This window comes from Homo sapiens, chromosome 2 (genome assembly GCF_000001405.40).
Source record: "Homo sapiens chromosome 2, GRCh38.p14 Primary Assembly".
Classification (NCBI taxonomy): domain Eukaryota; kingdom Metazoa; phylum Chordata; class Mammalia; order Primates; family Hominidae; genus Homo; species Homo sapiens.
In genome coordinates this window covers 178324916-178340987 of record NC_000002.12, presented here as the reverse complement: position 1 = coordinate 178340987, position 16072 = coordinate 178324916, and the positions used below count along the sequence as shown (strand labels likewise).

At 37.7% G+C, this 16072-nt stretch overlaps 1 protein-coding gene across 50 annotated transcripts in view, besides 1 other annotated feature; it reads right to left on the bottom strand.

The window, feature by feature from the left end:
• The window catches only part of OSBPL6 (oxysterol binding protein like 6), a 209120-nt gene that overhangs the window by 61906 nt on the left and 131142 nt on the right, over positions 1 to 16072 (bottom strand). For 32 of the 50 annotated variants that reach the window (XM_047443146.1, XM_047443150.1, XM_047443130.1 and 29 more), the window contains 7 exons: positions 12610 to 12732; positions 9383 to 9436; positions 8234 to 8347; positions 7947 to 8117; positions 4555 to 4687; positions 1894 to 1997; positions 1224 to 1316 (listed from right to left, as the gene is read on the bottom strand). In XM_047443146.1, the coding sequence (XP_047299102.1) occupies positions 1224 to 1316; positions 1894 to 1997; positions 4555 to 4687; positions 7947 to 8117; positions 8234 to 8347; positions 9383 to 9436; positions 12610 to 12732 (792 nt within the window). The remainder of the gene's footprint in view (positions 1 to 1223; positions 1317 to 1893; positions 1998 to 4554; positions 4688 to 7946; positions 8118 to 8233; positions 8348 to 9382; positions 9437 to 12609; positions 12733 to 16072) is intronic. The other 18 variants (XM_047443154.1, XM_047443165.1, XM_047443144.1 and 15 more) reach the window with 1 other exon arrangement.
• Positions 6792 to 7086: a silencer, noted in NCBI's record as "tiled region #7285; K562 Repressive non-DNase unmatched - State 15:Elon". NCBI's record gives its function as "represses a minimal TATA promoter and a strong SV40 promoter by Sharpr-MPRA in K562 cells {active_cell/tissue: K562}" and the evidence as "EXISTENCE:reporter gene assay evidence [ECO:0000049][PMID:27701403]".

Here is a 16072-nt window from a genome sequence, read left to right as displayed (position 1 = left end):
TATGAACAGAAGGGAAAACACACAGAAACATACTGAGCAAAGGAACACAAAAAGTTGTGTTTATTGAATGTAGACATTCTAATAAAAAAAAACCATGGGTATTAGTGCTTATGAAAATTTATTTTCAAATATATCAGATTAGCAAGCAAAGCAAGTTTGTTATTTACACAGTCAGAATCGTAATATGAAGAATGTTATTAATGAAGTCAAAATTAGAGAAGAATTATTTTGTTAATTATTCAGAAGGGACTGAAGAATTCTGAAAAGTACTTCTTTCTACCTTTGTATTAGAATATAAATTTATTTGTAGTATAATTTTAAAAAGTCAAATCATAAAGTCTAATCTTGATTGTGCAGGATAAGGGCCATGTATAATATGCATTTAGGAGGAGAATAATGGAGATTCTAGTTTAAAGATCTGAAAGTAATATGGTTTATGACATAATCTACCATATTTTGAATCACTGCAACACAATAATATAAAAGGATCTTACTTTAAGAACATTACTCATTTCAAATACATAATTTATTTCAAATAAATTTCAAGTACATTTATTACAAGCTATTAAGAATTTAGTTCAGATTTTAAGGTGATTGTTGAAAGCCAAATAATATTTATTTTTGTAGGATCATAGAATTTTAGAGTTGAAAGATAATTCAGAGCTTATTAAATAAACTCTATTACTTTACCCAGGAGCAAACAAAAGCTCAGGAAATTTAACAGAAATGTACGAAATTATACTGCCAGAAAATCACAGTGATTAGACTAGAATCTGGGTTTGCTGATTTCTAATCTATTGAACCTCCTACACTTTTTCTTGATAGAAAACATTTGGACAAAGCTGACACATAAAAGTCCCTTTTAAAATCTAGTATTTTTAAATGAGTGTTCATTATAACCCACTAGATTTTTAATCTAGATTTTTAAGGTAACTTTTTGTTAAAATATATTTTAATGGTTCAAAGGCTATAATTGTGAATAAAAATGCCATTTTGAACACATATCGCATAATTTTAACCTTTCTTTTAAATCCTTCTCACTTATGCCAGAGTAAGAAAAATATAGAGATTTTCCACTATTTTAGATAATGTAACAGTTTGAAAAGTGCTGGCTTTAAAGCAGTTAAGTTGCCCTTTCAATCTAACGCCCATAAACTGATGTATAAAGACTAGTACTTTAAAAATATGTAGAAACGTGAATGAAGGAAAAGTAAAATCTGTACCTGCAGTTGTATTTTTGTATCTTTGCTGACACTTTTTGTTCTCCATCGTCTTGTGACCCGCTTGTCTTTCTTTGAAATATCTACACAGTTAGCCTACATTACACAAATAGTTAAAAGCAACAAAGTATTATTAAGTTCACACAGATGATACAGATATAGACAAGAGCACAGCAAGTTACTAAAGGTCATTGTTAGAGCCTATAAGCAAACCAGCCAGGACAGAAAGGCATATTAGACGAATAGTGGGCATTAAAAAGCAGAGATAAGAACTTAATTATAAAATATATTTTACTGATAAACAAAATGAATACAGGATTAGAAATCTCTAGCTTTGATTTCTATATGAAAAGACAATAATAATTCTGAGAGTATCTAAAGCATATCTTCAAAGCTACCATTTCTAATAGGACACAAACATGGAAGAATAATTCAGATACTGAATGTATTTCTTTTGGTTAGTGTGTATTTAAATGTAAAATGTTTTAAAATAATCATCTTAACACACTGACACTGAGATTCAAAAATATTAAAAATAACTCCAGAATATAAATGAATGTCTGTATTGCAGTTATTTATCTTTAAATGTTACCTTATATATTCATAGAACAACCCAATAAAGAGTATTAATTAATACCCTAAGTCCTTTTACCAGCAGCAGGAATATGTTTACCTGCATGTCAGTAAAGTTAGGTGCCGACTGAGTTCTCTGAAGTATTTCCAAATTTTGCAGGAGTTTGCTAAGTTCCACAAGGTTTGACTGGCAATGTGCAAGATCTAATAAGAAATCAGAAATAAAAATACGTTAAAATTGGGTAGGGAGCGGTGGGGATGGTAATAAAAGGGTCAATGCAAATTATGGCAAATATAAGTAGGCAGATCCATGTTTATATGATGAAGATACTGGCAGGTGAAACAAAACAGACCCTTTTCTGGTGCAGAACCAAAAACCATTCATTATATTTCAAAGCTCACTCTTAAAAGTTAATAGCTATTAGTGCAGAAACCATGAAACTCTCAGTCACACTGTATGTGATCCCTTTTCTGCTCTGATAGCTTTTGCCACATGGGAAGCACACTCAAGTGAACTTCAGCAGTCCTGTGGTTTCATTGTTAGGAGCTTGTCTACCTGCTCCTCTAACATGCTTTAGAAGATGGTTATCTGGAATTTGGGTAGCGTTAAAATCAAGTTCAGAAAAATAGGACGGAATACAGAATCAGTTAAACATATTTTCTGTAATTTAGCTCACTAACAATGTTGAAATGAATGACTTTAAAATTTCTTAGAGACATTATATTAACCAAATCAGATTTTCAAAGTGCATTCGCTGGTCCAGCAATATCATCATCACCTGGACATCAACTCATTCTGTCTGAATTAACGTTTAGAATGAAGAAATGACATTTAGTTTTCTTTTAAATTTTTTGGTTTATTTAGTACAAGAGAATATTTAAAAATCTATACAATAAAATATCACTCTTTAAAAAAAAAACTGACCTTTAATATGTGAAATTAAACACGGTCAAGAATATTGGGCTGGGTGCGGTGGCTCATGCCTGTAATCCCAGCACGTCGGGAGGCAGAGGTGGGAGGATGACCTGAGGTCAGGAGTTCAAGACCAGCCTGGCCAATATGGTGAAACCCCATCTCTACAAAAATTAGCCAGGCATGATGGTGGGTGCCTGTAATCCCAGCTACTCAGAAGGCTGAGGCAGAAGAATCTCTTGAACCAGGGAGGCGGAGGTTGCAGTGAGCAGAGATAGCACCATTGCACTCCAGCCTATGCAATAGAGCAAGACTCCGTCTCAAAAAAAAAAGAGAATACTGAGTTACTTTTCTTATTTTTGTGGTCAGTTGCTAAAAATTTCATTTTGAGCTTTCTATCCAGGAAATATTACATTCATACTCCCTAATATTTGTGATTGTTCTATATAAATGGTGCTATATAAGCATAGAAATCTGGAATTGGGGCTGAAAACCATCACCCTTTTTCTAACAGAATGAAAACAGAACTTTGTGAATAATTCAGTTTAAGGCCAAGGACTCAAAACTAAGCGTAAGGAGACATCAATTTAGATTTTTCAGTTGTAGTTTCCTTATCTGTCAAATGGTGATAGTAGCATTTAGCTCTCCTACCTGCTTACTGAGATGGTAGATGAGAAAGTTCTATGAAAGCCAGAAATGGTCTCTAAGAAATACTTACTGCGCTATGTCTCATCACCCTGCTAGAGCCTTCACCTGGGCCATGCTACATCATTCTTTGTCACTTCTATTATTTACAATAAGAAAGAGAGGAAATCATACTTTCACATAAAGTCTGGGATGTGAGTATCTCAGAAGGCTGATAAAAATGACAAAAAATGCTGCATACTTTGAGTCCACATGCTGGTAGAGTAAGAAAAAATTCTTTTGGTTGGAGGACTAACATAGATTACCAAATTTTAATTTTTTTAAGTGAGAACACAAAAAAGTGATCTAATATCTACTTTTATTATAATTTTATAAGAAAAAATAATTTGAAAAAATAGGCCCAATATCATCTTAGGATCATCTAAAAATAAACTAATTGAGCCGTATTAAACAGTGTCTGCATTGCCCTTGTTTTTCTCGGTTTTGAAGGTCAAATGAAAACTGTCTCATAGAATGGAAATGGTCTGTAGATCAAGTTTGAACCATTGTGCTCTGGCTAATTACGAGGAAGGTGAAGGTAAGAAGAGATGAAGAGGCTCAGAGATGGCAGTATGAGAGAAGCAGGTATTGGTTCAGAATATTGAATCACTGATCCACAGTGGAGCACACTAACAGGTAACTGTGGATATAAGATGCAGCATTTTACAACTTTGCCATTTATTGCCGAGTTGTCAGGAAACATACACCTGCTCCATGGGCAAGACAGAGCAGAAGAGAAGGCAGCTGCGGAAGTGACCTAGTGAGGACGACAGAGCAGTGATTCTGGGACCATGGGCAGAGTAGGCTCTCCTTGGGGGTTACTCCTCTGTGTGACTGCCCCAGGATCCAGGAGCTAAAGAAGCCAGAAGGAAATGGTGAAAAGACAAGGAGAGAAGGCTGAAGTGGGTAGAAGTCAGGGGAAAGGCAAGAACCAGATTCAACTGCTGTGAGGGTGCAAGAGAACTGGCAGGTAAGGAGCCTGAGTCATGGCAGAGAGAAGGAGCTGGTGCATAAAAATAAGAACAAGGGGGAGAAAGAGCAAGGAAAGGTCAAGACGATCAAGGCAATCAGGGTAAAAGATGTAGCACTCATAATTGACCTCTTCGGGTTTTGTTTCTTGTTTGGTTTTGGCTTACTCTCAGGCCACACTGGGCAAGAACTAACCTTCTGCACACCTGTCCATCTCTTCCGAGTCCTGTAACCAGGCTGCCACTTTACTCTGGCCAGTTGTGCACGTTGCAGGGAGGCTATTGCTGCATGGTAAAGGGGACTGCCACGGAAAGCTGTTTGGTTGCATCTACGGCAAACAAAGATGAATTGTATGGTTATGAAACAGTACATTTCAATGATTAAAAAAATACAAGTATCCTCAAAACCGTATTAACAAAGAGAGGAAGAAAATGCACACTCAAAACATGGAAGAAGCCTCTTGGCTAAATGTGGTTTGTGCCCAGTGAGGGCGACATTCCTAAACAGCAACCCCTCATTAAACTGCCATCTCCATCATTCAATGAAGGACAACATTTAAGTGTGTTGTATCTCATAATTACAAGGATCTGCCAACTCAATTTCCCAGTAATTTTTAATCGCTGAGTAAATTGTATTTGCAGTGTCCTTACTGCAGTACTCTTAACTCATGATTTAAGGTCTTTCCTTTCCAAAAGGTTTCTGTACCCTTATGACCACTCAAGTTCTCCTCAACCACATGTGATTCCTAAATACATTATCCACCAGTAAGCAACCTTGCAATGCCTTGAATTCGTATTGGAAATTATTTATAAAAAGGCAGTCATGGCAAGTTATTATCTATAGCTTTCCATTAAAGTTATTATCTATAGACTTCTCATTAAAAAGATTTTATGTGAAATAAGTGAAAATTGTATTAAGTATATAGATACTAAGGTGCCTGCAGGAAACAGTGAAAAAAGAAGAAACTTAATTCTTAAAAAATTGAAATAATTTTAAAACTCCATAGTTGACTTTAATATCCAACTACAACTGAGTTGTGTCTCTTCTAAATCATTACAAAGTGAATGATGCACATTCTTAGCAAACCCAGGCTTATTTATTACTCACAGAGGGCCACAAACTAATTAACATTCAGGAGTCTCATAATTTGATATGTAGAAGACAGGCAAAGTGATAAAAAGCTCTTTTCACTCTTTATTGCATGTTGATAAATGTAATGGAAATCTTTCACCAAGCAGATCTTAGAGGTATGTCATTAACCAGAGCAATAAATCTGTTTTGAAAACCAGAGCTGAAGAGCTTTCTTATTTCAAGGCAAACAGTGGGGAGGATTTGATTTTAGTCTTCCATTCTCAGATATCACCCAAGTTATTTAACAAATAAGGGATGAAAATAATATATTTTCATCAATAAATTTAATAAATATTTTAATAATTTAATAAATAAGAGATAAAATATTTTCATCAATAGTCTGTGCCAGTGATGTAGGCAGAAGCTGGATGAACCAAGTAATTAAAAATTTATATTTTTTAAAGATCTATTTGGAATACATTTCTCATTTAACAAGGACTAAATCTAGGATTCAGTCTGCCTTCTGGTGAGAACACAGGAGGCCAGAGAAACTCGGCACTATCTTGGGCATCTGTAAGTTCCCAACCTTCCTGATGCCCTGACCAGATGGTTCGTTCCCTTTTTTATTTCAGAACTGGTTGGTATTAGGGTTAATCCAACACCCTATTCCTAGAAAAAAGATAATTAAATAGTCCTTGGCAAGGCTGCAACCAGAATGGAATAATGTGAGGTTTAAGGCCAGGTGTGGTGGCTCACGCCTGTAATCCCAGCACTTTGGGAGGCCGAGGTGGGCAGATCACTTGAGGTCAGGAGTTTGAGACCAGCATGGCCAACATGGCGAAACCCTGTCTCTACTAAAAATGAGCTGGGTGTGGTGGTAGGCACCCGTAATCCCAGCTTACTCTGAAGGCTGAGGCAGGAGAATCAATTGAATTCAGGAGGAGGAGGTTGAGGAGGTTGCAGTGAGCCAAAACCACACCACTGCACTCCAGCCTGGGTGACAGAGTGAGACTTTGTCTCAAAAATAAATAAATAAGTAAATAAATAAATAACGTAAGGTTTGAGATAATTTTAACATCGTTAATAGGATCTATCAAAAACTGCCATTAAAATAACAAAAACTGAATATAGTAATGTTTCATTTAATCTGATTTGGTTAGTATTGCAGTTACTCTATGAGGTTTTTCAATGGTTTGCAAAGGAAACTTGGATGTATGTATGACATACATTCCTGTGTAAGCAAAGAAAAGCAGAATCTTCATTGGAACGTTCTTGAACACAACGTACTGTGGCAGCCAGCTTCCTCACCCTCTCTGCCCTCAATTTCAGGTGCCAAATGTGAAGGCGGAGCACCCCTGCGCAGTGCAGTGGGGCTAGGTTTCAGGAAACTTAATTATTGAATCAAAGGCAGAAACAGCTGTTTCCCTGTCTGTTGACTTAACCTTGATTTTTTTTTAACAAACAACATCTCTTGCTTTTCATCAACACAGAAGTGAACTCTTATTTCAGCCCAGAGAACAAGGTCAGCCTCCCTTAGTCTGGCACCTGGTAAAAATGGAAAGGGCACTGACTTTGGGAACAGATGTGGGCTTGGATCCTGGCTCAGCTGTTTAATGGCTATGTCACTTCTGGACAAATTTTTTACTGTCTCTGAACTTTGGTTATTTGAAAGATCAGAGACGAATGAGTGCCAAATGCTTAACACAGTGCCTGACCACTTAAATAGGCTGCTATTTATATTATTGTCACATTCTTGAGCTCACATGTAATTACTTCATGGAGAAATTTAATAGCCTCTCATGTATATATTATAGGTCAAGACACAAAGGCAAGTTTCATTTTCAAGACTGAGGTTTTCTTATTACCATCCAGGAAGGCACCTGATTTCTGAATGTTGATTAAATAAATGTTTACTTACTTCCTAGTATTCCTACAAAGCCACATAAAGTTAAAAGGTAGTCCGTTCATAAAAGGGAAAATTAACTGCTAATTCTCTTGGTGATCCACATTTCTGCCTAATTTATACTTGCAATTAACTTTCATGCCAAATGTCACTGTTGTCTTCTGAGTGTTAGTTTACAAAGCAAACCTCCTCTTTCTGGTTTTCCCAAATGAGACTCAGTTATGCATTTGCATAATTTTCTTTTTTATTTTATTTTATTTATTTATTTTTGAGACGCAGTCTTGCTCTATTGCCCAGGCTATTCAGTAGTGGCACAATCTTGGCTCACTACAACCTCCGCCTCCCAGGTTCAAGCAATTTTCGTGCTTCAGCCTCCCGAGTACCTGGGATTACAGCTATGCAGCATCACATTTGACAAATTTTTGTGTTTTTAGTAGAGATGGGGTTTTCACCATGTTGCCCAGGCTGGTCTCGAACTCCTGGCTGTCAGGCGATCCACCCGCCTTGGCCTCCCAAAGTGCTGGGATTACACACGTGAGCCACAGTGCCTGGCCAAAATTTGCATAATTTTCTAAGCAATTTTCAGGCTGGTTTTTATAGAACAAAGTCATACCTTTCCATCCATTACAGAAACATTAGCAGCTGGTGAGGATTCAGCTGTGGACGTTGAAGGAAATATGTGAAAACTAGCATCTCTTGGTGATCTCACAATTTCATTCTGACGATACAACCGATGATGTCGCAGTTTGGAGACCCATGCATCAAACCAGTCCTGGGATTTCACCTAAAACAATGAACGAGAGGAGAAAGTAATTGTAAAATAACTCTCCTGCCTACCACTGGTGTAGGCAAATCGTTTCCCCTGATAATGGCAGAGAAACTGTTGAAAACTGATTTCACCTTCAAATGATAGATGTGCTCTTCGGTGTCAAGGTCTATTCTTCGAGCTTTCTTTTTAATTGACATGACTGAGAGTCCCACATCTATGCTCCCATGGACCTTTCCTTTCTGAATCTGAAATCAAAAGACTAGTAAATAGGCTGAAAGGATATATGATTTGATGTTTCTGTACTGTATTTAAGTGAACTCAAAGTAATCTTTAACTTATCTATGGGAAGTGGAATACTACATATACCTCCTTAACAAACAGAAAATAGTTAAGGTTCTATGGATTAGGTTCTAGGACAGTTGATGTTGCAGTGACTTCACGTCAATTTTTATAAATAAGACTATTCATCTTATTCCTGTTTTGGCATAGAATGTAATACTAATTCTTCATAATTCTAGATTGCACAGCTTATATTCTCCCAAAAGGACATCTTTAGCGGTCCTAAAATAACTGCGGTCAATCTTTGACGTATAACCCAGAACATCCCTGAGTAATCAGCTGGCAGACAGCTGCTGGGGCAGAACAGGGCAGCTGGGACCAGAAAGCAAGGAGCAGCCAGCTCTTCCTTCTGGCTGCTCCACTGATCAAGGACATGGCTGATTCAATGGCAGGGATGGGGACAAAACTGAAACCTAAGCCTTCAGTTACTTCCCCTACACCACAATGATGAAGGAAGGAATTTTCCAGTGTTACATGCAAACTACTCCTTTGTATACTAAACAAAAACAATTTGAAATAATTTTTGTGAATTGGGATCTCCAAGATAAAAAGATGTATGACGTAGAAATAAAATTTGTAAGATAGTTTTTAAAAGGACATTGACAAGAACAGAGCAGCACACATAAAGCAGAGTTTATTGGAAGATGGAGGAAAAAAGCCCATTTGCGTTTTCTATCCAAGTGACAGAAGGTGATTTTACTCATGCGTCACTTTTAAGGTTTAAGCTTCTGTTTTTAATAACACACATCAAAATAGTTAAATCTTCATGCACTAGGTTGACACACTTTAGAACATGGAGGTTTGGGAGCTTGTGAAATCTTACAGGCCCAGACATGCACAAAGCTGGTAACTATGGCACAAGGCTTGTACAATTACAGTGTTTACTCACTTCAAGCAGAATTCGAAATCAACCTTTGAAACATGTCCTGTGTGCTACTTACATCGAGTGGTGCCTTTGAATACTTTAACATTCCATTATCCAGGACAAAAAAACGCTGCAAGAACCAAACACCCCCAGTTACTGTCTGTATTTTGAATTACATAAAACATTCACAAATGTGGGTCTAATGTTGCTTGGCATTTATTAATCAATATGTTTGATCATTTTAATGTATCTGGATTCAGTGCATTTGGCCACAGTCAGTCACATTAAATGGTAAGGAGATAAGAGCTCTAGTTCCATACTGTTAACCTACCAAGATTCTTTTATACATAATCCAATGGGGATGGAGTCTTTTCACCATGATTTTTCTTAACAGGGGAGGAATCTGAGGACCTGAAGCTACAATCCCCTGAATGAACCACATTGGGATGTTTTTCAAAGTGAGAAATGATCACAGTGACTCTGTAAGGAGCTCTATACAGGTCTACAGGGAATTTTTCACCGTGAATATAAACTTCTGAATTTTCCCTGGATACCACAGACAATTCCTGAAAATGTTCATGTCCATTACAGAAGCCAGTGGACTGAATCTATGAATAATGAATTATCTGGAAAATTTAAGTGGGCTTAGTAATATGCTTGCATCTCTAGTTAGCAAATGTTTGCATTCTACCATTAATCAAAGAGGTTGAAAATTATTTCTGAACTACACTAAGGGTAAAAAAAGAGAGGGGTTTTTGGCAATTTTTTCTCCTCCAAGATAATCCTAGTACAGTCTGAATGGATTTGCCCTTTTTGCTCTACAAACACTCAGGAACTCTCAGCTGTTGATTTTTCTTCCACGGGCAATTCACAAGAGAACAAACAGCTCCCAGGGCCCGGTCAAAGAATGGGTCCTGTGCCCTCTAGTTCTACAGATGCAAGGAATTTTTCTGTTCCTGGCAAATTACTCTGCTGGTAAGTTTTTATGTGATTTGGGACCTCTTAGCTGCTAAGATGGCAGGCAGTCAGGCCTCGGGATCGCCTTCTGTAAGTACAGTGGCCTTCTGTGAGTTCTGCACAGAGAACCCCTATGAGTTCTGCACAGGACTGACAGAAGGCCACTGTAAACCCTTTGTTACAGGTTCTGCGGGACAACAAGTAAACACTGGAAAAAAAGAGTCTCTACGGTTGAAAAACACTTGATTAAAATCAGTTGCCCTTAACTTGGTCAATCAAATGGGCTGACATCTGAATAAACACATGGTGGTTGTAGAGATCAGAAGAAAAGACAACAATGCAAAGCAGGCCCTCCTGTTATTTATGTAGCAAAATGTTCAAAGGCACGGTCTAGAAAGTTGCTGCCAAACCACAGCCAGTTTTGTTGAAACATGGACTGAAAGTGCTAAATTAAAGTTAGCAATTCATACAAAATTTGTTTCTTTGACGGTTTTTTCCTGTGGTTTCCATTTCTGTCTATCCAAGAATTTCAGCAGAGATCACCTATAGCATATCATAAGGAAAGAGATTAGCAAGGCCATCAATTTGGGGAAACACAAAGGATGAAAGGCAACAGTGATTGTAGGAAGGAGGATGGCCAATTGGCGAAAATCTCAGGAAGAACGACAGTGAGGACAGGTCCTTGGCACTACGATAATATTATGGGTTCAGGAAAGATCGTTTCTGACAAGGAAGAAGGCACTTTCAGAGACAGGGCACCGGGGCAACATTTCCCATGTGTTCATTTTTAAGTCTTTCCCTTAAAACACATAAAATGTTTCCTCAAGGAAGTTAACATACATAACCTCCCTGCACTGAGCCAATGGGCAGCCACCACTGGCCATTTGGGCCAATAAATTTATCTGCCCTGAGATGAAATCCACGTGCAGATGTGCCAAATATATAGATTTATTCTTCCACTGATTTCAAAGAGGATACTGGGTGGCCCACTAAAGAGTTTAAACTGACGTGGTGGCTCACGCCTGTAATCCCAGCACTTTGGGAGGCCGAGGCAGGCAGATCATGAGGTCAGGAGTTTGAGACCAGCCTGGCCGATATGGTGAAACCCAATCTCTACTAAAAATAAAAATAAAAAAAAATTAGCCAAGCGTGGTGGCGTGCGCCTGTAGTCCCAGCTACTCTGGAGGGAGGCTGAGGCAGAAGAATCACTTGAACCCGAGAGGTGGAGGTTGCAATGAGCCGTGATTGTGCCATTGCACTCCAGCCTGGGTGACAGAGTGAGACTCTGTCTCAAAAAAAAAAAAAAATAAGTAAATAAATAAAAATAATAGTTTAAACTGAAAATGTACGGCAACTTTCTCCTCCTTAGTATGACAGAATCCTTGCTATTTGGGTAATGGTAAAATGCAGTAAAAAATATTTTCTCTATAATTTAAACTTAGAGATAGGACAAGGATGTTGGGAGGAAGGAGAGGAATAAACTGTAGCCTTCAAAGAGCAGTAAACAAACTTCTGGGATCAGTGAACTCCAGCTTTAGTTTGTACTGGTAACAATAATTCTAGGAATGTATCCCAAAGAACTAAATAGAAGTTCATGTGTAAGGATGTTCATCACATCACAATAGTAAAAAAATAAGGCATGTCTTACATATCCAGCAACAGGGAATTAGTTCGATAGCAGTGGGATATATAATATAGATCCATCCAAAGTGATACATGCATGCATTTAAAATACCTCATATTTCAAAGAGTATTTAATGAGAACTTATCTATACTAATTTAAGTGAAAAAAGCAAATCAGACAACAATACATACCAACTGGATTAAATATCACATATTTTTTTCCCTCCATATGTATATTACAGATCTCAGTCTCTGTTAACTATAATAGACTACAACCCATGTGGTTAAAATAAGGCCTTAAAAGTTAGTTTTACAGCCGGGTGTGGTGGCTCACACCTGTAATCCCAGGACTTTGTGAGGCTGAGGTGGGCGGATCACTTGGGGCTGTGAGTTCAAGACCAGCCTGGCTAACAGGGCAAAAATCTGTCTCTACTAAAAATAAAAAAATTAGTCAGGCATGGTGGCATGCACCTGTAGTCCTAGCTACTCAGGAGGCTGAGGTGGAAGAATCGCTTGAACCTGCGAGGTGGAAGCTGCAGTGAGCTGAGATCATGCCACTGCACTCCAGCTTGGGTAACAGAGTGAGAATCTGTCTCAAAAAAAAGTTTTAAAAAGCTAGTTTTACACATACTGCCATATTCTTAGTTTCCCACCCCATGATAGCAAATAAGATCTTCTTTATTTATGAAGATGGTCTGAACCTGAATATGATAAAAATGTTACCTTGTGCCAGCCTTTTAAAGGCCATTTTCTTTTCTTCAGCATAAAGCCCTCATGTTTGTCTGGTTTCTGGACATTGGTTTGGCCTATTTTCAGCCCTTCTATAATTTCCCAGCTGTCAGCTTCCTGAGAGAAAAGAAGAAAAACAAATCACATGTTACTCAGTGCCTGATGACACACTTAAAGCAGATTCTTAAGTAGAAGTTGCTTTTGAAGCAGTACTAGGCCCACCAGAAAGAAGGATGAACAACATTCCGGAGCAAATTCTAACATCAAACACAGCTATGCACTTTTAACTTCAGTTAAAAAGAGTTTCCCAGGTAGACCTAGAGGTAAGTGGGGTCCATCAGAGACTCAGTGGAGCCACCTTGTCTGTTTGGGGTAGGATGGAAATTCGATTGCCTGTACTCAGAATGTTTAAAATTCATTTTTCCAGACAGTGAATCCCTGAACACAGAGGCACTTTAAAGTTTCAAAATAAGACTACTTTGATGACAAATGTTCAATTAGTGTGTGGACCTGGCTTTCTGTGTAGAAATGGAAAGGCTGCTGTTGTCTCAAGTGGCTCAGAACCTGCTATTAACAGGGAATAACAGCGCTGTGGTCACGGCTGCTCTCGGGGAGGTTTGCTTGCATTCCAAAGTGCACATAAGACACCTGCTCACCAAAGACACACCAAAGAACTTCGTGCTTTCAAAGATACACATGCCCCTGGGAGCCCCTGGGTTGCATTTCTTAGTAGTGAATTGCAATTCAACAAGTTAGCACTGTTTATGAATAATGTTTAGAATAATAGGAGAAACTAGTAGGCTCTTATAAAAAGTCTAATGCCTGTGGCTTTTGACTCACACAGAAAGTTAGATGACCACTATATTCTAGAAAATAATCTCCATCTATGTATAAATATATTCATTAGAGCTCTCTCTCTGTTCTTAGAGAGATATCCACTATATTTAGTGGCACTTCTATTTTCAGTAGCCCCATCCATGGATAATATCTCTGGAAGAATAATATTTTTATTTCTGGCTAGATTTGGAAGTTTGTGTTCACCTTTGGTTTACTGTGTGTCTACATGTGGATGATGAAGAATATTCTGTGTGACTTGTGAAAGTGGAAACATTTAATAAGTGCAGATCTTTGCAAGTTTTCTTCTGACTAAACTCAGATTGTAGTAATGGCTACTAACTACTAATTTCTTTTTTCCAATTTTTTATTTTTTCATTTCAATGGGTTTTTGGGGAACAGGTGGTGTTTGGTTACATGAATAAGTTCTTTAGTGGTGATTTCTGAGACTTTGGTGCACCCATCACCCAAGCAGTGTACAATGTACCCACTGTGTAGTCTTTTATCCCTCGCCACCCCCCACCCTTTCCCCAGAGCCCCCAAAGTTTCCAATGTATCATTCTTAGGTATGGCTACTAATTTCTATCACAGTGTTTTTTTTCTTCTTTGAGAGTTTAACTCCAGAAGGGGGGGAAAAAGAGATAAGATAGAAAGGCAAAAAGTTAAAATGTATTTCTTAAACATAGATGTGACAGCTTGGAGCAAATAATTTTATTCAGTCTGATGCAATATTACTAAGTCCAGTAAAAGAAATGGAAAAGAATCCTACTATAGTTCTCACAATTAAATAGGCTGTCAACCTGACAGAGGCAAAAGATAAAACCAGAGCAGACAATGTTCCCCCGTTTCAATTATAAATGCTGTGGATAATGTTACAAATACAGTGTGTAAGAAATGAAACAACTCATCTCAGTATAAAATAGAACCTTCTATGTTCTATTTTCCATTATGTTAAAATTTCTCCCTCTATACTTAGTAGACTAGGACTATCTTAAGAAAACTAAAATTGATTTCTGAAAATTGAAGAATTTGTTTTTGTAATTTCAGTTGATATTTTTTCTGTTTAAAAGTCTCCAATTTTCCTGGGTTTACTTATAACAGAGCTAAAAGCCATAATGTGATCATGTCAGTACTTAAGCCAGATATATACATATTTTTGGTATTATAAGTTTTAAAAATACTTTTAATCTAATAACAATAAATAAGAACAGACAGTAATGTCATAATCGCCCAAGTTTTTTCATTTGGAAAAAACAGAGACATTTCCTTTCTGAAGGGTAAACTGTATGTGCACACGTTTGCAGATGTATGTGGGTGAGTGTGCATGTGTGTGGGTACATAAAAATGCTTTAGCAGGTGAATGCATCAAGCTTAGGATTGGAACAAATCCTGATCAGGACAATGTGTACTTCAAAAAAAAAAAAAAAATTCTTCCACCACTAATCAGTGCCCAGGAAGCCCATCTCTCAAAGGGGCTGAGAGATGGTGAGATGTGATGGTACCTGGGTTAGATATGGCCCTCTGATTTCATGAGGCCCCAAGAGATGTGGTGTCTACTGACACAGAAACACAACCAGGGTTTATTAGTCCTACAGCAAGATCTAAGTGGGCAACAACATGGAGAAGTAATGGGAAGTAGATGCTGTTTGTACCCTACCCAGATTCCTTTATATCAAGCCAGTGGACCCAAGCCCCATCTGCTGTGAGCTGGGCTAACAGCCACCTCCTTCTAGGAAGAATTGCTGTTTGACCAAGCTGGGGCCTTCATGCCGGAAAACTATGCCATAATTATCAGTAAAGTGAGAACAATATTGATATGTACTTCAATGAGTTGGGGGCTGATTAAGTGAGATAATACATGTTCTAATCCAGTGCCTGGCGTAAAGTAGGTGCTCAATAAATTTTAGCTACCTTTTTCCATTGCCCTTTTATTTATTTGTTCTCTATTTCCTTTAGCTAACTATAAGAGAGAATTGCTATTTCAAAGAGATTACTAGTCATATTATATTTACCAGGTATACAGTCTGTACTCGCTATTCAAATGGAAGTCAGACCACTTATGTTTTATAGTTTAATAACTCCCTGCTTTCCATGGTTTAGCAGTCTATTCTTGTCTGATAGAACAAACTTTATAGCTTGTCATATCTTTACAGTTTAAAGAGGTTCAAGTGTATATATTCCATACAGTTGGGTAGTAAAGTGTTCTTTTCTAAAAGGATTATGTTTAATATAGAAAAGCAAGGTGTAATGATCAGTTTTACATATTTAGAAGTTAACCGTCTTTGGGTATAAAGTGCTATTTTTATACTGGAATTCAAAGTCTGTATGCATTCTATTTTCAGAATTTCTCAATAAAGGAGGAAGCCCATTGAAAATCTCAGGGAGGGATGGGCAGGAGTAGGATGGTATCTTTCCAACTTTTCCCTATCATTTTTACATTTTAGACATACGTGAATTTAATTTTCCCCAGTCTGAGGAAGAGCAGGCTGAAGGGGAGGGAACACTGGCTCCCATGACACAGAAAAGGTCTTCTAAATAATCTGCAGTGTTCTCTCACGAGCTCATTGCTAGGAAGGCCAGATGTGAGAAGGAGCCTAGAAGCCAGAATATACAACAGTCCCTC